The 19528-nt window shown below is 49.1% G+C and overlaps 1 protein-coding gene across 5 annotated transcripts in view, besides 1 other annotated feature; it reads left to right on the top strand.

Moving 5' to 3' along the window:
- The window catches only part of CPXM2 (carboxypeptidase X, M14 family member 2), a 198466-nt gene that overhangs the window by 50691 nt on the left and 128247 nt on the right, over positions 1 to 19528 (top strand). For 3 of the 5 annotated variants that reach the window (NM_198148.3, XM_011539283.3, XM_005269528.4), the window contains exons 1-2: positions 1607 to 2058; positions 13105 to 13203. In NM_198148.3, the coding sequence (NP_937791.2) occupies positions 1755 to 2058; positions 13105 to 13203 (403 nt within the window). In that variant the 5' untranslated portion in view covers positions 1607 to 1754. Of the gene's footprint in view, positions 1 to 1606; positions 2059 to 6181; positions 6446 to 13104; positions 13204 to 19528 lie in introns of those variants that run through there. The other 2 variants (XM_011539285.3, XM_017015673.2) reach the window with 2 other exon arrangements.
- Positions 8927 to 9221: a silencer, noted in NCBI's record as "tiled region #15643; K562 Repressive non-DNase unmatched - State 24:Quies". NCBI's record gives its function as "represses a minimal TATA promoter and a strong SV40 promoter by Sharpr-MPRA in K562 cells {active_cell/tissue: K562}" and the evidence as "EXISTENCE:reporter gene assay evidence [ECO:0000049][PMID:27701403]".

Below are 19528 nucleotides of genomic sequence, written 5' to 3'. Positions count from 1 at the left end.
GTGGCCTGCGCAGAAAGAGAATGACAACCTTCCTGGTCCAAGCCCTGCCCACTGTGGGGTCTCAGGAGCCCCCACTCTAGGGAAGTCCTCACTCCAGGGCAATGGTGAGGCCTTGCCCTGGTGCCCTGACTCAGCTCAGTGGCATCGTAGGATCACATCACAGACCCAGAGGAACTGGGAAGGTGACAGGCCAATGCAGGCTTGAGGGTCAGTCTGTCCCTGTAGCGCACTCCATGGGTTCCCAAAGACATCTACACCTGAATACCTAGAACAAGAGATAGTTACGGAACCTGGCAAAAAGTTAGGGAACATGGCAAAATGGACTTTGCCGATGTGGTTAAGGTCACCACTCAAGATAGGATGACTATACTGAATTTTTTGGGTGGGCCCATCTATTCACACTCTCTTAAAAGCACAGAATTTTCTCTAGCTGGAAGGCGGAAAGATGTGGCAGGAAGGGAAGCGATTTGAAGCTGTGCCAGCTCTGGCTCTGAGATGCCGGGCCCACGTGCGAGGACCAGGGAGAGGCCTGGAGGAGCCTGCAGAAGACATGAGGAGGAACACAGGCAGCCAGCAGGAGGAAAGGCGCCTCAGCCCACAGCCAGCGAGTGAACTGCACGTCAGTCCTACTACCGCAAGGAGCTGAATTCAGCCAATACCTGAGTGAGCCCGGAAGTGGACTTTTCGCCAGAGGCTCCCCTAAGAAACCAGTCCTGCTGACCCCTTGATTTTGGCCTGGTGACACTCGCATCAGCCTTCTCACCTGCAGAGCTGTGAGATAGGTGTTGTTTGAAGCCACTAAGTTTGTCATCGTTTGTTACAGCAGCAAGGGAAACGATGCAGTCCCTGGTTCCCCACATCCCCGCCTGGAGAGCAGAAGCCGCAGGGCCATGGGCCTGGGCTCCGCATAAAGAACCCATGCAGAGTTGTCCAAAGCAGGAGGCCCTTTCTCAAAGGACCCTCTGGGCAAGAGCCTGCTCTTGGATGAACCACAAACCCTCTTGTGACCCCTGGATGGCCACCTTGGGGTAACGTCACTGTCTTTCCCAAGACCCAACAGAATCACAGTCTCAGATGGGAGAGGGCTCCTCCAGGGTCCCTAGGCCCTGCTCCCAGGGAACTTTACTCCCAGAAACCCCGGGAACCTCAGGAATTCCTCATTCCCAGTTCCTGAAACAGTAGCATGGCTAGTGGGAAGTCCACGTCTGCGGAATGGTCAGCACACGGGGCACGGTTTGAGAGCTGGAGGCTGCTTGGGCTCTGATTTACTTTAGGACCCTGGGCCAATCTTTTCTTCTCTCAGGTCACGTTTCTCCACCTGTAAAACAGGAATGGAACAGCGGGCCTCAGTGTTTTCTTCTAAGATTGAAACTCATTAGCGTCTCTGGGGAAGCAGGCCCCACGCTGGCTGGCCTGCGGGGGAGGGGAAGGGGGCTTTCTTGGGCTTGGCTGCTTGGAACACCTGCCTCCAAGGACCGGCCTCGGAGGGGTCGCCGGGAAAGGGAGGGAAGAAGGAAGGGCGGGGCCGGCCCCCCTGCGCCCGCCCCGCGCCTCTGCGCGCCCCTGTCCGCCCCGGCCCAGCCCAGCCCAGCCCCGCGGGCCGGTCACACGCGCAGCCAGCCGGCCGCCTCCCGCGCCCAAGCGCGCCGCTCTGCTGTGCCCTGCGCCCTTGCCCCGCGCCAGCTTCTGCGCCCGCAGCCCGCCCGGCGCCCCCGGTGACCGTGACCCTGCCCTGGGCGCGGGGCGGAGCAGGCATGTCCCGCCCGGGGACCGCTACCCCAGCGCTGGCCCTGGTGCTCCTGGCAGTGACCCTGGCCGGGGTCGGAGCCCAGGGCGCAGCCCTCGAGGACCCTGATTATTACGGGCAGGAGATCTGGAGCCGGGAGCCCTACTACGCGCGCCCGGAGCCCGAGCTCGAGACCTTCTCTCCGCCGCTGCCTGCGGGGCCCGGGGAGGAGTGGGAGCGGCGCCCGCAGGAGCCCAGGCCGCCCAAGAGGGCCACCAAGCCCAAGAAAGCTCCCAAGAGGGAGAAGTCGGCTCCGGAGCCGCCTCCACCAGGTAAGGAACTTTCTGCGCTGGGCAGCCCGAGGGGGCGCCGGTGGTTGCGCGCCTCCAGGGGACAACTGGCTTCTCCCATTGTGTGTGTCTGGGATGGGCCAGTCCCGGGAATCTCCCTGTTGCCGCCTCTGCCTCCCTAGGGACTGTATCTGCGCTTCCTGCCGGCCCGCCCAGCTTCCCAGAACTTGTCCTTGACCCTGACATGCATTTCAGCTCTGGCTTATGCCCTTAGGTAAAGAGGGAGCTGTGCAATTGGGAGGCTGCCTATGAGAGTCAAAGTTCTTGTTTCAAGCTTGAAATCCCCTGAGCTAAGGGTCTTTCTGCTGGATGCCTCTTACTTCTCTGCCTACTTCTTCAATCCTCAAATGCGGCTGAATTTCCGCTTTGGGGATGTGGATGGCTGGCTGTTTTGGCAGATGGCCTTCTAGGGAAAGCTCTGCCAGTAGGCCTTTACCCAGTCGTGTCCCTTCTCAGCTCCCTCCTTCCCACTCTCAGCGGGTCTCTTGGGTCCTCTGCCCGGCTGGGGCAGGATGGCACAGCCTCCACTGGGGAGTCTGTGCCTGGAGTCTGCTGCAGCCTGGACTCCGGCTTGGGGGCTCCCTGGCTGCCTGCAGTGCTCCGTCTTTCATCCAAGTCTCATACCCTTCTCAAATCCATCTTCAGTTTCTGCCAACCTCATTTTCTTAGGAAAATGACTTCCACTAAATGACGTAGTTTATTAACCACCTTGTGAAGTGGGGCTTTCTCTAGTTCCAAATGTTCTTTGCTTAAATTGCAGGGGCTGCAGGCCTGGTATTTCAAGAGTGGGGCATGAGCAGGAATGTGGCCAAATTCTCTGGCCTCGCAATGGCCTTTCCTGAAAGGAGATACGTGCGGGTGCCACCGTTACAGGGCTCCGGGTATGGAAGGCATCGTCTTTGTTTGGTTAAACTGCTCACGAAAGTCAGCAGCCAGGGCAGTGGGAAAGTGGAGGAGGGGTGAGGACACAGAACTCCTGAAAGGGTGGACCTATATGAGCACCCCCCTTTGCAGAGGCCCTGGCATGCTTCCATTTGTGGACAACTTTGAATGGGCGGAGATTTCTGAGTTGTGTGACAACCCTGAACACATCCAGAATTTCCAGTGTTTCAGGGAGAGTTATGGGAATTCAGATGTTTAAGAGCTACAGTGGCTTAATAACAGGATTAGGAGTGGGAAGAGACTTATATTTGTAGAATGTCGACTGTGACTCCATTAGAAACTTTATGTGCCAGTTTCATTTCATCCTTTCAGTGGCTCCGAAGGGTGGGTGAGGCTCAGACAGTTTAAGTAACTTGCTCAGCGTCACTTGCTGGCTTGGGATATTTGAAAGCCTTTCTTCTGTCCTTTTTAACTCAAGGCCTTTTTGGTTTGGTAGTTTGAATCAAATCCACATGCATTCTAGTTTTTTTTTAAGTGCCTGCAATGTGCTTAGCTCCGTCCTGGGCATGGTAGGGTGGTGTAGGCAGGAGACATGTATGTTGGGTTCTGGCAGTCACTGGGGGTAGTGCTAAGGGGGAAAGTGGAAGAGAGCCCCAGACTGGGAGTCTGAAGACTGGGCCTAACACCCATGTTTAGGGCTCATCAACTTGGGGATCTGGAATCATGGCTCAGTTTCCTGAGCTTTAACTTCATCATCGTTTGCAAATAGGAAGACTGCACCTGCCACCTCACTTTACTTTGTCAATTGCTGTAAAAACCTTTTTAATGAAAGCTTCCAGTGTGCCTGCCCGCTTATGTGCTGGTCTTCCTGTGAACCTTTCATTCATTCCACAGGCCGTTACCAAGAACCTGCTAAGCACTGGTGCTGGGTGAGATCCTAGGAATGGGGAGAGCAAGACGTTCCTCTTCCCTGCCCCCCAGCCCCCGCCCCCCACCACATGGAACTAGCTGGGAACTCTGAGAAAGTAATCACAGTTGTGTTAAGGGTTGCACAAAAGTGTGGGGTGTTAAGGTAACAAACAAGCTGGGGGAGCTCACTGAATCTGTGGGGGCTTGCGTAATGCTTCCCCGAAGAGGTGATGTTTAAGACTTGACAAGTAAGTCAGCTTGATTGTCCTGGGGACTCGTACAAGTGACCGGACATCATTCCTAAGATAGGTTTCTTTCCCTACAAAACACATCTCAGAAAGTCACAGCCTGGCCTGAGCAGTGTCCACAGACTAATGTGTCTGCAGACTCAGGGGTTACATGGGGAAGTGACTCTCTTTAGTCCTTGGAGAAACAGCTCTTGCCACTCTTGGAATGGGGTCTCTGGAGGAGAAATCAGAGTGTAACCTGAATTTGCAAGAAAAAGCTCATTTGGTTTTGGAAGGCCATCTTGCAGGTAGAGACAGGCCATGGGGGAGCCTGTTGATTCGGTGCCTAGCCTCTGCTCCTGCAGGACACATTGCCCAGTTCACCGCAGCCCTGGCATCCACCGGGATCTCCAAGCCCCATACTGAAAACACGTCTTCGGAAGATCTAGAGACTCACATCAGAGGCCTGTTGGGACAGCTGCCTGCAGACCTGCTACCATGTCAGCTGTGTTTCTAATGAATTCTGTGGGGCTTTTTTAGAGCTCTCCCCAACCATGACAAGACAAGTGTGACATTTATCTCATATTTTTAACTCCTGTCCTTTTTTATTTTGGTGTTTGCTCAGCAGAATCCTCTGCCCTGGACCAAAGTGGGAAGACTGGTTTAAGCGTGAACTTAGTTAGGGGAATCAGTGACAGTTTTGTGCAGTTAAACTACACTAGGAGAAAATTATTTTTTTTCTACTTTAAGTAGCGGCTTGATCTATATGCTGCTCGTGGTGTAATAGAAGCACTTATCTCTGCATTGGATTGTTTTGGAATATCTTAGGAAGGCACTTACATAGGAAGGAACATTGGACTGTGGCCTGGAGTGTTTAATGCAAACTTCTGTACTTTGCTTCACTGGGTGGATGATGCAATGCTATGTATGAGGCACTGAGGTGGGAGTGAGGGGTTCAATTTAGAGATGCATAACAGTATAAAAGCATATATAACTAATTAAAAGTCTATATGTACTTTATCTTTGCAGATGATAAAATATTTCCCAGATAGCTCTTGTTTTGCATAAAGGTGAGTGCAAGGAAAGATGTATTCAGCAGTGATTCCCCACACAGGCAGATTTTCTATGTGGTAGGCCCTAGGAGGGAGCCCTGTTTTAACCCTGTAGCGGGGTTTATGCAAGGAGCCAAGGGCATTGGGGATTTGATCTTGATGTGGGTTCTGGCTTTGACCATTGGCTGTTCTTTCGCACCACCACAGAAATGCCCAATGGGTGTGACATGCTGACATTCATGGAGATGCTTGGAGAACTGAACCCTTTGGCTAACTGAGAGTATTGCATTTTCCATGAGTGGCTAACAGGTTTCCAGAGAAGTAGAGCCCCAATATATTAAACAGAATGGAATCTTTAAAAACATTTATTTAAGCTTTTATTTTGAAATAATTATAAACTCACAGGAAATTGCAAAAATAGTACACTGAGGCCCCATGTACGCTTTGTCAGCTCCCCCCAGTGATAACCTCTTAGATGATTCTAGTACAAGATACTTCAATCTTGGCAGGATTGATGTTTTGGGCCAATTGTGTGTTTGTTTGTGTATGTGTGTGTGTGTGTTGTGTGTACGTGCCAACAGAGGAGGAAGGGGGTTGCCTTCCTGTGTATTGCAGGATGTTTAGCAGTGTCCCTGGACTCCAAATTGGATGCCAGTAGCACCCTCCCCCCTGTTGTCACAACCAAAAATGTCTCCAGACATTGCCAAATATCCCCAGGGGGATGGGAGTCACTGTTGTATACAGTATCAAAATGAGGAGGTTGACAGTGATACTGTTAACTAGATTACATGCCTTACTCAGATTTGACCAGTTCTTACATGCATTTGTAGGCATGTTCTCTGTAGTTTTTATCACATGTACAGGTTCATGGAACCACCACCACTGTCAGGATATGGAACCGTAGAATCTTTTTCTTAGGTTGCAGTAGGATTTTGGTACTGTACAGTTTCTGAGGTCCTCATTGTGAACACTCATCCATCCGAGAATTTTAGAACTCTAAGGACCTAAGTGGACACTGAGCACAGATTCTTGCTTATTGCGAGATTCTAACAGTGAGCTGCCCGGCCTCTGCTCACAGGCTTCCATGGATGGACTCTCACCATTCAGTGGATGAAGAGTACTTATTGCTAGAATGTTCTTCCTCATATGAACTTGACAACGTTCTGCTCTCTAATTCCATTTATTTAGCTGTTTCGAATTGAATTTGACAGTTTCTAGATCCCTGCAGTTGGAATGATTTAAGGCCACGGGAGTGAATCTCAGGTCCTCAGTTTTCATTCTCCCAGGGTTATGAATAAGGTAAGGGGCCACATTTTGCACGTGCAAGTGGATTTGGGGGTGTCTTACTTTCCATGCCATCTTCAAATTGATGACCCTGGTTTGCAGCCATATTCCTTTTGAAGAATAAAATAGAACAGAAAAATAAACCATAGTTATAGAACTTATCCTTTTCCTCCCACTTGGCAGTAACAATCAAATCAAATAATAAGCTGAACTATTGATTTGAATGAGGGATTTGAAGATTTTATTTATTTCTCTCTTCATTGCACATTGGGTTAGAAGTAGGCTTGGATATGTAGTCTTTAAATTTGAGTTTCTGCTTGGTCCTTTGTTCATAACTTTCTTCCTGTGCTGGTGAGAATGCACCGCTGTTTGAATGTGGACAAACCCACATCATCGCCATAGTCTTGAGCCCGTGGAATTTGCAGAGGGGGCAGCGAGCCACGTTTGTTTGTGTGTCTGTGCTCAGAATCATTGAGTTTGCATTTTGTACTGTGCTGGGCCCCAGTTGCAGGGGGAAATAACCAAAGAGTTGTTCTTTGAGCATATTTGGTTGTAAACAAAGCCTTTTCTGTTGTGTGTGCCGTAAGCCAGTTGGTGAAAAGGGCTTCACATTTAAGCTTTCCTTCTCTTTTCAGTGTGTTTTGCTGCATTTGGCTTTTGGATGGAAATGTCTTCTCCTGGGCAAAATGGGAGTGTGTAAGGATTAGGAAGCTGTGTTTGTAAATATTTCAATAAGTACTTTAAAAAGCAATCACAATGCTATTAGCATACCTAAACAATTAACAAGCAATCCTTCATGTCAAATTATATGCTTACTTTAAGAGTTAAATCCAAAGTGTTTTGTCCAGGTAAACTCCCTATAGAATTCCAAGGGAGAGGACGTCATTTCCTGTACATTAGCAAGCAGCTTTCTAAGACACCACCTCCATTTCCAAAATGCTTTCCAAAGTCAACTATTAATGCTGGCAAATTTCCTCTTGCCTGTGCCCAAGGTTCCAGAAACCAGGGCTCGCGCATGGATAATAAAGGAGGACACACCCACGTTTGCGAAAGCTGGACTGCATGCTGTGGTTCTTAAAAATAGCCACTGTGTTTTCTGTATGCCTCAAGTGTCCATGGCTGCTAGAGCTCATGGCACCTTTAGTGTGGGGACAATGGCAGCCTGGCCCTGGAGCCTTGACTTTTGAGGTGGAGGTTTTCTCTGGATGTCCCTGAGGGTCCAGGGAGCCTGAGCATTCAGGCTTGGCATCTCCAGCAATGGCTCTGCCCTCTGTGGCCCTCTCAGGCCCCAGCCACTGCAGCTACCACTCTGGGGTCACAAAACCCAGGAAATTAGGGTTTCTTTGGATGGCCACTGGAAGGGCTGGCATCCACATCTGGCTGGCAGCCAGCTGGCTACTCGTTGGGCATCATAGGATGGTTAGCATGGCACAAAACAGCTTCACATGTTAATTTAAGCCCCTGATGTCACAGATTTGTATGGAATGCCTGGTTCATGCTAGGCACAGGTAGGTGCTCCATGGTGAGTTTTTCCAGGATGAAGAGAGAGCTGAGGTCAAAGTCTGGTTCTGCCACTCATGGGCATTTGTGACTTCTCCAAGCATCAGTTCCTCACGATGGCATGGGAACAATTAATAACCCGAGCTTTTGGAGGAGGTGTACGATTGGAGGGGTCAATGCCCAGCCTTCCAGCCTCCCAGCCTCCCAGCCTTCTAGCCTCCCAGCCTCCGGAGTGGGGCAGCTCAGAGGCATCTCCCCTCCCAACCCCACCCTGAGTCCCCAGCCAGGTTGAGTCCCCGTTGAGTCCTGCCAGACAACACAGCCTGAGTTATTGGTGTTTCCCCTTCAACTTTTCACCTGTGCTACTTGAAATCTCCTCCCACATACAGCACTGTGCCCAAAGCCTTCTTGTCTCAGGCTGTTTCCAGGTGGAATCTAAGATGAGACTGGCAGGTACCAACAGCTCCCTGCACAGTGTCTGCACACACCCACCTGCTGCTGTTACCAGGGTGTCTCTTTAAAGGCAAAGGACTCTATTTGGTTGCAAGTCAGAAAGGTGGCTGCTGGCTGCACAGAGGGCAAGAGTGGGGGCCACAGGGCACTGCTGCCCCAGCCATGCCCACTCTTCCTTATGCCCAGATCTGAGGCCAGGTCTTCTGCATGAAAGGCTGGCCCAGAGGAGGGTGGGACTGACCAGGCAGGTATCCCAGAGAAGACACAATGGAGAGAGAGAGAAAGAGAGACAGAGAGAGAAAGAGAGAGAGAGAGATGGGCCATGGGATTTTGATGGATTGTTTGATTGATTGATTTTGGTCTAGTTTTGGTAAGAAGTTCTTAGACAATTTCATGAGTACCTCCATGTCCAGCCCACAGCCTCCCCCCGGGCTCCCGTCAAGGTCATTGAGATGGATAGAAGCCAGCGCATCAGTCCACTGCTCAACTCGCCCTTCAGGACCCACTGAATCCCTGGATTCTTATTTCCTCTGGGAGCTTCCAGTCCTCAGAATTGGATAAGGGTGCAGGTGATTCCTCCCTGTGTCATGGCCCTTTCCCTGCCAACATCGCACAGAGCAGGCGTTTCTCACTGCTTTTGTTTAGATTTTCATGTTCACCTGTGAAGTTCTCCCGGCTCTCCCTGTGTGAGGGTTCCCAGCAGATCCTCCCAGCAGATCTGGTGTGTTTGTGGTGATTTAGCCTTAATGCTGCAATTCTGGGGAGCCCCAGAGAACCTCTTTGGTCATTTTTTTCTCCTAATGTGGGTTCCTTAAGCAGAAGCAGACAAGGACCTCAGAGCCCTGGGCTGGGTCCTTTACTACAGGAATGCAGAGCCTGTTGGACTGGAATTTCCTGGGGAAGATGCAAAATTGCAGCAAAGCATTTTTTTTTTCTGGCTTCTGGGGGTTGCTACTGTAAGCCCTTTGTATAGTGAGGAGAAAAATAGTTCTCTATTAACCAAGAATTATATTTATCACTGTAGACCAGAATAGAACATGTGGCCCACATTGGCAATTCAGTTTGCTACTTTTAAGGGATTCGGTTTTGTCACGCGGCCCAGATGGAGATGCTGGCTTGATCCTGGCCCCTTCTCTGCACACTGTTTCCATTTTGCTTTCTTCTTTCATCTGCATGGACCATATGCTGCCTTTCTTGTTAGGAGAGAGGAAGGGGCTATGAAGGGGGGGCCTGTGTGCTGTCCATGAAGGGCTCGGATTTGGAATCATTCTCCAGCTCTGTCCCCTCCTTGCTCTGTCCGTGACCTTGGGCAGCTCTCTTCTCCCCTCTGAGCATCTGTGTCCCCATCTATAAAATGGTGTGCAGAGACCCTGTTAGAATCTATGTGAAAATGCCGTGTCAATTTTGAACCATGCTATGCACATTAGCTGTTATTCCTCCAGCAACTGGAATAGCTTTTTGTGATGGGTGAGAAGATAGAGGTCTTGCTCAGTGAGGCTGCAGGCCAGGGCCACCCTAAGCCCATCAGGCAGCATTTTTGTTTCCTGCTGGTAACTTCCACCGTGGCAGGTATTGTTGCCTTCTCCTTTCACTGATGAGGGAACTGAAGTGTAGAGAGGTGATGAGGTCATCCCAGGACATACCTGAGGGTACAGGGGCAGACATGGCAGCACCCCAGACTGGAACCAGGCCCTTAGGCCTGCACTTCCAACCACCAGCTGCCTCCTCCCCAGCGAAGGTGCTGGGCCCCTGCCTGCTGTCTCAGCCCCATCTGCCACTCCCTTTGGGGAGTCTGTTCCCCACATGTTGATCCTACCCTCCATCCCCCTGCCAGGGGAGTCACACTGTCAGTGTAGTAGGACCTTCGCCTGACATCCAGACTTTCACTGGAGTCCCAGAGCTGAGTCCCAGAGTTTCCTCACAGGCCTAAATCTGCCTGGGCCTGGGGGTGCCCGGGCCATGGTGTTGTGATGTGGGGGCTGGCAGGGCCGTGGTGTGGAGTCTGCCCAAGCCATGGTATTGCGGGCAGTCCAGGCTGTCGTGTGGGGGCTGCCCAGGCCATGGTATTATGGTTGCGGGGTTGGTGGGGGGTGCCTAAACCATGGTATTAGAAGCTGCGCAGGCCATGGTGTTGGGAGGTGCCCGGGCCATGGTGTTGTAGTGTGGGGCCTGGCTGGGCTATGGTGTGGGGGCTGCCCAGGCTGTGGAGTTGGGGGTTTTTCAGGCCATGGTGTTATGGTGGGGGGGGGTTGCCTAGGCCATGTCATTGGAAGCTGTCCAGGCCATAGTATTGGGAGCTGCCCAGGCCATAGTGCTGGGGGACCGCCTGGCTCCCTCTCTCACTGCCTGTTCCATGGAGGCCCCAGGGAGGCGGCCCTGGCTGAAGGAAGGTTGTCGTGAACACCATTTTCTGGGGAAGGCTGGAATGGGGCATTATTTTCCAGAACTTTGGCTTTTTTTCTCACATATTTTGTGAAATTTTTTTCTTTCCTTTTCTTAAAACATCTTATGTTTCTGAAAAATCCAACTCAGCCTTATCAAAAGTTATGCTCCTGATTTTGTGGAGCCACTAAGGCCTTTACAGAGCCCTGGTCAGGCTCTTAGGGAGGTGGCCTTCTTCCACGGTTTTCCCACCAGCCGGGATGTTCCCGCCCACAGAAGCAGGACACAGGCCAAAGCAGTGTCGGGCAGAGATGTGGGTTCAGGTCTCTGACTTGCCTTCCTCCTCTGGCCTTTACAGAAGTTTCAGTTAATTGGCTTCTAGACACTAAAGGGGGCACTTAATTTTTTTATTTTCTTTTCAGCTTACATGGAAATGAAAGATACTTCCAGCAGGTACCACCCAAGAATATAACAAAAAGGGGGGTTTCCTTTGGCTTGGCCCAATGTGCCCCTTGAATTTCTTGAAGATTTAAGGTTTTCTTAATAAGTGTCCTTTTAGCATGTGACTGTAACATAGTCGGAAATGATTTCATTATTGGCAGAATCCACCAGCTAATTTTGGTATTTCAACTGGCTTTTAAAGTTCAAGCTAAGTTTCTTTCTCCACAGACCTGCCCTGCCTCTTCTTTCTGTTTGTCACTCACCGACTGGTTCATTTGTTCATTCGTGCATTCATTCATTCATCACAGCCTCCTAAGTCCCAGACTCTGGAGACAGAGCAGTGAGCAAAGCCAGACATCATCCCTGTCTCATCAACAGACATGTCCCATTGCCACTGGGATGCTGCCACCCAAGATGGGTGCAGACCTGCGGTGTGGCTGCCAGTGCCCCACCCAGGTCTTCTTTCCCCACAGGGACACCCAGCCCCCAGATACCAGGAGTCTCCTCTTCAGGCAGCTCACACCTGCTTCCACCTCTGCAGAAGAACCCTTGGAAGGCTACATCTCCCACTCTCAGGCTGTAGCCAGAAGCCAACTGCAGTAGAAATGACAGCTCCTTGTCCCAAGTCAGGACAACCCTGTGTGCAGTTGCTGCTCCAGAGCTCCTGTGGGATGGGCTGAGCCTGACTCTGGCTGAGACCACAGCCTTGCTTAGCTCCTTTCCTCACCCCATCCTGCTTCCCTTCCTTCCCCTCTCCCTCAATACACCTTGTGCATCCAAAGCCCTGCATCAGGCTCTACCTAGAGGCAACCTGACCCAAAACAGGTGCTATCAACTTCCATCAAAGTGGATTTGATTTGGTGGGGAGGTCGGGAAAGTTTAAGGAGGCGATGCCAGAGCTGAGATGTTCAGGATCAGTAGGAGCTAATTAGCTTGAGCGTAAAGGGAAGGGAAGGGAAGGGAAGGGAAGGGAAGAGAAGGGTGCTCCAGGAGAAGGAACAACATAGTACACAGTTCTGGTGAGGAAGAAGCATGAACTGAAGGCTAAACGGAGGCCAGTGTTGCTGGAGCAGGGAGAGGGAGTGCAGTGTGAAAAGGAGCCAAGGGGCCAGCAGGAGCATGGCAGGCAGGTGTCTCAGGCTATGGCAAGGAGGCTCCCCAAATGGGGGCAGCATCCTTACCCACAGGTACCAAGCCAGGGCCTGGGAGAGAGTTAGGTTGGAGAAGCCCAGCAGGGTGGAAAATGCTAGCTCTGGGGTCACAAGTCTGAGGCTCCACTTCCAGTTCCAGAAACTACAAATGATGTCTCTGGGCCTCAGTGAGGGTCAAATGTACTACCCAAAGGTATTCTTCAGTCTTTTTTTTTTTTTTTTTTTTTTGAGACGGAATCTCGCTCTGTCACCCAGGCTGGAGTGCAGTGGCGCAATCTCGTCTCACTGCAAGCTCTGCCTCCCAGGTTCACGCCATTCTTCTGCCTCAGCCTCCCAAGTAGCTGGGACTACAGGTGCCCGCCACCATGCCTGGCTAATTTTTTGTATTTTTAGTAGAGACAGGGTTTCACCGTGTTAGCCAGGATGGTCTTGATCTCCTGACCTTGTGATCCACCCGCCTTAGCCTCCCAAAGTGCTGGGATTACAGGTGTGATCTTCAGTCTTATAATAGTAACAACGTGCAGGTGTACATTGTTTTTATTAGGAGTGTTTCTTCTCCTGGGTGTTGCTAATAACACATTTCCTTTCCTTTAACTAGAGACTCCTTAAAGTCCAAGACCCCATCTTTAGGGACAGGGGAGCAGAAGGGGAGATGGCTGCTGTGCAGGAGAGGACAGTTGAACTCTTAGCATCTTGAACCAGCTCTGATGTATGTGAAAGTAAAGGCATCTCTCTCTCCCCCTTTAGGTAAACACAGCAACAAAAAAGTTATGAGAACCAAGAGCTCTGAGAAGGCTGCCAACGATGATCACAGTGTCCGTGTGGCCCGTGAAGATGTCAGAGAGAGTAAGTGAGGCTCTCGGAGAGCCCCTACACCAGTCCTAGGCCCTGTTCAGGGAGGGTGGGTGGGTACAGGCCCCTGGTGCAGCAGCCTGACTACAGATTCCCGAGTGTGGGGCTGCCTGGGGCCTGCTGTCTATTCCGATCCATGGTGCGGGGGCGAGAACATTCACGGCAGCTTCTGCACCACACTCACACTTGTGCACTGCCTCACTACTCACAGCCAGATTTTCTGATTCAACTGCAGTCAGTTTTGAATTTCCTGGAGCTCTTGGTTGCTTTCCCCACCTCTCTCTCCTCAAAGACAACATCATTTCCTCTCTTGTGGGACCTCTTAGCTGCCCATGGCCTTCAGTGTGCATTTCTTATCTCCCAACCTGACCCAGGAGCCTCTGGGGTCAGAGATCAAATCTACTTGCAAAATATGCAGTGCTAGGCCGGCATCTCACAGTCATGAACATAGTGCACCTTTAATTACTCACCTTGGAATGTTCAAAGGTATTATTTTGAGACTCATGAACAATCTCTGGCCCATGAGCTACAGCTATTACTATTAACTACTACCATTATTATTATTGTATCATTATTATCTAAACTGTGGTAACCAGGATCACATTTCTGCTAAAATTAGTATTAGTAATAACAGCCATTTATTAAGCACTTATGTAGTAGCCAGGCACTTGGCTGAGTATTTGGCATCCCCTAGTGCCCCCCTGACTATGGGTATTATTATTATCATTATTATCCATACTTTACAGATGAGGAAAATGAGACATGGGAATGTGCATAGTTTACCAAGGGTTATGCAGCTTCTACGTGGTAAAACAGGGATTTGAACCCAAGATTTTCTGATTCTAGACTTTTTGGTTAGCTTAAAATAAATGATGCATTTCACAACTTTGCATTTACAGAGGCAGGACTTTAGCTGCCATGTGAGTCCATAAACAGTGTTCCAGAGTTGATTGTCACAGGTGGAAGTGCTGCTTCCTTAAGCACAATGTAATGATTTGGGGCAGTGTTTCTAACCAAGAACTCGCCATCAAAGAAATCATAGAGATGACTAATAGTGCATCCTCAAGTGAAAACAGATGTCAACAACAGTGACCTTCTGTGGTCACTTACCAAATGTAAAGTATATTCCTTCTTAAAGTGGGCAGGCGTGCACTCCACCCATTGCCCATTGAGAGGACTCATTGGACCGGGAGAGCGCATTCTGCACAGTGCACACTGTGGCTGTGTTTCTGCTGCTTGACCCTGACAGTGTGGTGCTTTGGGGTCGTCTCTAGATGGGGGGTAATAGGACTCCTCACCTTGAATGGACCTTGGACATTGGCATTTTGTGCCCAAGCAGGCTGATAAAACACCAGCTGTTTCTTCAGGATTACAAATGCCACAGGGCTGACGTGGCCTTGAGAGTTGGTCTTGCCTCCCTGGGTCTTACTGCCATCAGATTGGATCCTGGTACTTCTTCACTGCCTTGTGAAGAAATAAACGTATTTCTTCACTGCCTTGTTAATTTTTAAGTGCTTTTAAACATATTTTGCCCAGATTTTTTTGAGTAGCTTCAGCAGAAGGGTTGGTTTGAATTATCTTAGTTCTTTATTATCAGAATTGGAAGTTCTTAAACTTTTGAGGAGACCATTTTCGGAAAGATTTTTGAAGACTCAATTACACACACACACACACACACACACACACACACACACACACGTCTGAATTTGCCTCCTTTTCTGCCATGGGTACACCCCTCCCTACTGGCCCACCCAGGATTGCTCCCATGGCTTTGGCTTCAAAGCTATTAGGTTGGGATCACTGGTCTCATAGGCAGCCATCACGGCTCTGGTTCATTGAATGCCCTATACGTGATTTTAGCCTGTGAAACTTCTTTTACTAAAAAAAAAAAAAAAAAAAAAAAAAAAAGAGAGAAAAAAAGGGGGTCGAGGATAACCTTGGAGGGGAAAAGCAGCTGAGGAGATCCTGACAACCGACAGATGGTGGCCATGGAGGCAGGGCACATGTGGCAGGGTGGCGTGGCCGTTAGGAACGCAGGCCTAGAGTCAGGCACCTGAACAAGCAAGGTGTGGCCTCAAATGCAGAACCGGGCATTCTCAAACCCTGAGTCCATCCTCCTGTCAGGATCTACTCAGGTTGCACTGGGGGGCTTTGAAGGCAGCGTGGCAGAATGTTGGGCTGGTGTACGTGACAACTACATTATGTTCAAGGTGGCAGGCAGAGCAGATGTCAGCCACTTCATTTGCAAGGCGGGGGGCAGTACAGGCGATGTTAACTACATTGAGTTATGAGAGTGGATGGGGTTAAAAGGCTCATCTCAGATGTAGAAGTCATCCTTATGGAACTTTAGCTTTTGAGGAAGAGAACATGTACATGGCTGTCACTGTGATTAAGGAGTAGTGTCAGCTGTGGCAAGTATCAAACTACCTTTTAGGTGTTGTTTTGTAATAGTTTAAGAAGTTGGTTGAGTCATCATTCTAATTCTTCACCTCTTCTCATGTCCACACCCTTTGCTGTGTAACTCTTTAGTTCCCTTTGCCAAAGCTGGAAGTCCCTTGGCTTTGGGCTGGTCCATGAGCCTCGTTTAGGCCAATAGATGGTGAAGGGATCATGTGTCAGTTCTGAGCCCAAGCTTTGGTTGTTTCCATTTGTCTCTTGGGCCTCTTGCATCTCCACAAGAAGAGTGTGCATACCTAGACCACTGGTCCTAGGAGGCTGAGCAATAAGTGGAACAGATGTGGGCCCAACCAGCAACCCAGAGCTACCCAGCTGAGCTCAACTAATCTACAGACACCTGAAAGTAAATGCGAATTGTGTGCCATTAAGAGTTAGGGGTTGCTTGTTATACAGCAGTAGCTGACCAATACAATGAAGATAAAGCATGACCTTGTTTTTTCAAAGGTTACATGACATTCCATAATATAACCACCTAATAATAGACATTTATGTTGTTTCCAATTTTTTGCTACTGTAAACAGCTTTTGTTGCAATGAAATTACCTTATGCCATGTTATTTACCATGCATTAATTGCAGGATTATTCTCTACTTGGCAATTCCCACTATAATTTTACCCATTTTCTGGCCTCTGCTTCCCTTTGTTTGCAGCCAGATGAGGGCTTGTTTTTTACATGTGTCCCAAGCTTTAAGCCTCTGCTCACATGTTCTCTCTATAGGGAATTGGACAAGCATCAAAGTTGGTGATTGAGAGGACAGCTTTGGGATCAGACTAACACTTGAGACTTTGGATAAGTTACTAACTTCTGGCTGCCAGACTCTGGACAAGTTACTAACTTCTCTATGACTCAGTTTCCTTCTCTGTGAAGTGGGAATAATATTAACCTTATAGGCATATTGTGAAGATTAAATAATGTCTGCACAGTGTAGCACACAGCACACAGTAAGCTCTCAGCAAACATTAGCTGTGACTTTAATTTACCGTCTTGGGGTCTTTTGTGTGCCTTAGAACAGGGGCTGGCAAACTTCTTTAAAGGATCAGATTGTAAATATTTTATGCTTTAGTAGCTAAGAGCCAAAATCCAGGATATTATATAAGTGCTTATATAACCATTTAAAAGGTAACCCTTAAAATATTTAAAGTTTATTCTTATTTTACAGATCATACAAAAACAGGCGGTGGGCTGTATTTGACCTTTACATGGGCTATAGTTTGTCAGCCTCTGCCTTAGAAGTTCAGTGCTCTGCAAATCCCACTTCCAGGAAGCCTCCTCTGATCACCTCTCTTTAGTTTCCCATGCTTCTTTCTTATGGTGCTGGTTCCCTCCTTTCTCATATCACAGTGATTCCCGTGCACGGTTCTTTGGTTCTGAAAGCCTGTGAATGCTTAAGAGCAGGGGCCTTGTCTGATTCATCTCTGGATAGACCCAATGTTGGTAGCAGCACTTGACAATGGTGAACCTGTTTGTTGAGTACCCATATTGTGGTAGAGCCAGCATCATGGTGAACAGAACAGGTGCTCTACATATGCTCAGGTGGGTTCTCTATGACCCAGAACAGCAGCTGGCCCTTTCAAGGAAGTGGTCTTTGATTTCAGTTCTTAGAGCAAGATCTGTAGGAAAGAAACATGATCAGCCGGGTGCAGTAGCTCAAGCCTGTAATCCTAGCACTTTGGGAGGCCGAGGCAGGTGGATCACCTGAGGTAAGGAGTTTGAGACGAGCCTGGCCAACATGGTGAAACCTTGTCTCTACTAAAAATACAAAAATTAGCCGGGCGTGGCAGCATGCACTTGTAATCCCAGATGCTTGGGAGGCTGAGAGAGGAGAATTGCTTGAACCCAGGAGGCGGAGGTTGAAGTGAGCCAAGATCACGCCATTGCACTCCAGCCTGGGTGACAGAGCGAGACTCTGTCCCACCAAAAAAAAAAAAAAAAAAAAAAAAGAAAGAAAAGAAAGAAACATGATCTCCTACCAGGATGGAAGTAGGATGGTTTCCCTGAAACATGTTGGTGAATGCGAGCTTGCTTGACGCATCTCCCTCATGCCTTGACTGGAAGAAGTTTGAGGCCTCAATCAGGCACCATACTTGGGGATTGGCCAACTTAATGTATATTTGTGTGTGTTTTAAGCTTGAGGGTTTTTCATTGCATCACAGACAGTTTGGTTTTTCATTCAAGCCCTTGTTATGAGCCTCTTCTCTTCATTGCATAACCAGACAGTTCCCTGGGGCGAAGTTGGGTCTTCCTTCTTGGCATCTGGCACAGCTATTCCCAGACCCCTGATTCTGAAAGATTTTACCGACACAGTAGACATGATAAACTGCCATGCCTGTATTTCAGACTCCTATGGGAGTGACAGGGGAGGTGAGGGGCCAGAACTGGGACAGAGTCACACCCCTCTTGACAGACGGTGGTTAGGAAGCCCAAGAAATGTGGGCACTGGGAAACCAAAGGTGCCCCTACTCCTTGCTATTTTCCACTTTCTGCACCATCTCAAACATGCCTAAAAAGTTATTCTTTAGTCTCTAAAAAGAAACAAGTGCCTTTGAAGGATTTTATAGCATTCCTTTACAATGTGGAGAGTTTTATTTTGTTTTTCCAATAATGGATTTGTGGCAGGGCCTTCACTGGGTTTGATTAGGGGTCCTGGGCTGGCTGTAGCCTACAGTAGACATGTCTGTAAACTGAGTGTGTTTTTGAACACTACATGAGCAGTGTGGCCAGTCTGCAGCTATAGGCTTCAGAAACCCTGGTCTGAAACCATAGGCACAGTGGACTTGTCAGCCTAGAAATACTTCCCAGACAAGGGTTTAGGGGACAGAACTCTGATGTTCTGATGTGCTCGGTAGCACCCATAGGTGGCATGAAATTTCATTCATTTGTATCAGCCACTTAACCCCAAGTGTGGTTCTTATTGACCAAGTACATGCTGGTCCACTTACAGGGGAGACATTCTAGGGCTGTACCTCCCCAGAATCCCCATGACAAGGGTGAGCACACGTGCTTCTGTTGCTCTTGGGGAATTTGTTCTTGGCATACTGTGATCTATCCTGTTTCCATCTTCTCAAAGCTTCTGTGATAAAACCCTCTTTATTCTGTATTACTGACTCTTGGATGGATTTAACAGAAAACCAAATTTACCATGTTATGCCCTAAAACTTTACAAAAAAAAATTGGCACTTAAACCACTTGTGGTAGAAGTTGGTCTTGTGGTGAAAGTAGACTTCTTTCCTGGCTTATTAAACATTTGGCTATGAAAGCAGTAAACACATGCTATAAACTGATCATGTCCCCACAGAATGTGTTTGTTGAAATGCTAACCCACAAGGTGATGGTATTTGGGGGTAGGGCCTTTGTGTGTGTGTGTGTGGTTGGGGCGGGGGGTGGTGATTAGATCACGAGGGTGGAATTCTCATGAATGGGATTAGTGAACTTATAAAAGAGACCCCCAAGAGCTCCCTTGGCCTTTCCTCCATGTTAGGACGCAGGGAGAGGATAGCCACTGTATATGAACCAGGCCCTCATCAGACACTGAATCTGTTGGTGCCTTGATCTTGGACTTCTCGGCTTTTAGAAATGTGAGAAATAGGCTGGGCATGGTGGCTCACTCCTGTAATCCCAGCACTTTGGGAGGCTGAGGCAGCCAGATCACCTGAGCTCAGGAGTTTGAGACAACCACCCTGGGCAATGTGGTGAAACCCCATCTCTACTAAAATACAAAAAATTACCCTGGCGTGGTGATGCATGCCTGTAGTCCCAGCTACTCAGGAGGCTGAGGCACAAGAATCACTTGAGCCCTGGAGGTGGAGGCTGCAGTGAGCCAAGATCGTGCCACTGTACTCCAGCTTGGGCTACAGAGTGAGAC

The sequence above is a fragment of the Homo sapiens genome, chromosome 10, assembly GCF_000001405.40.
Source record: "Homo sapiens chromosome 10, GRCh38.p14 Primary Assembly".
In the NCBI taxonomy this organism is placed as follows: Eukaryota; Metazoa; Chordata; class Mammalia; order Primates; family Hominidae; genus Homo; species Homo sapiens.
The sequence above is the reverse complement of the archived record's forward strand: the minus strand, read 5'-3'. Positions and strand labels throughout refer to the sequence as shown.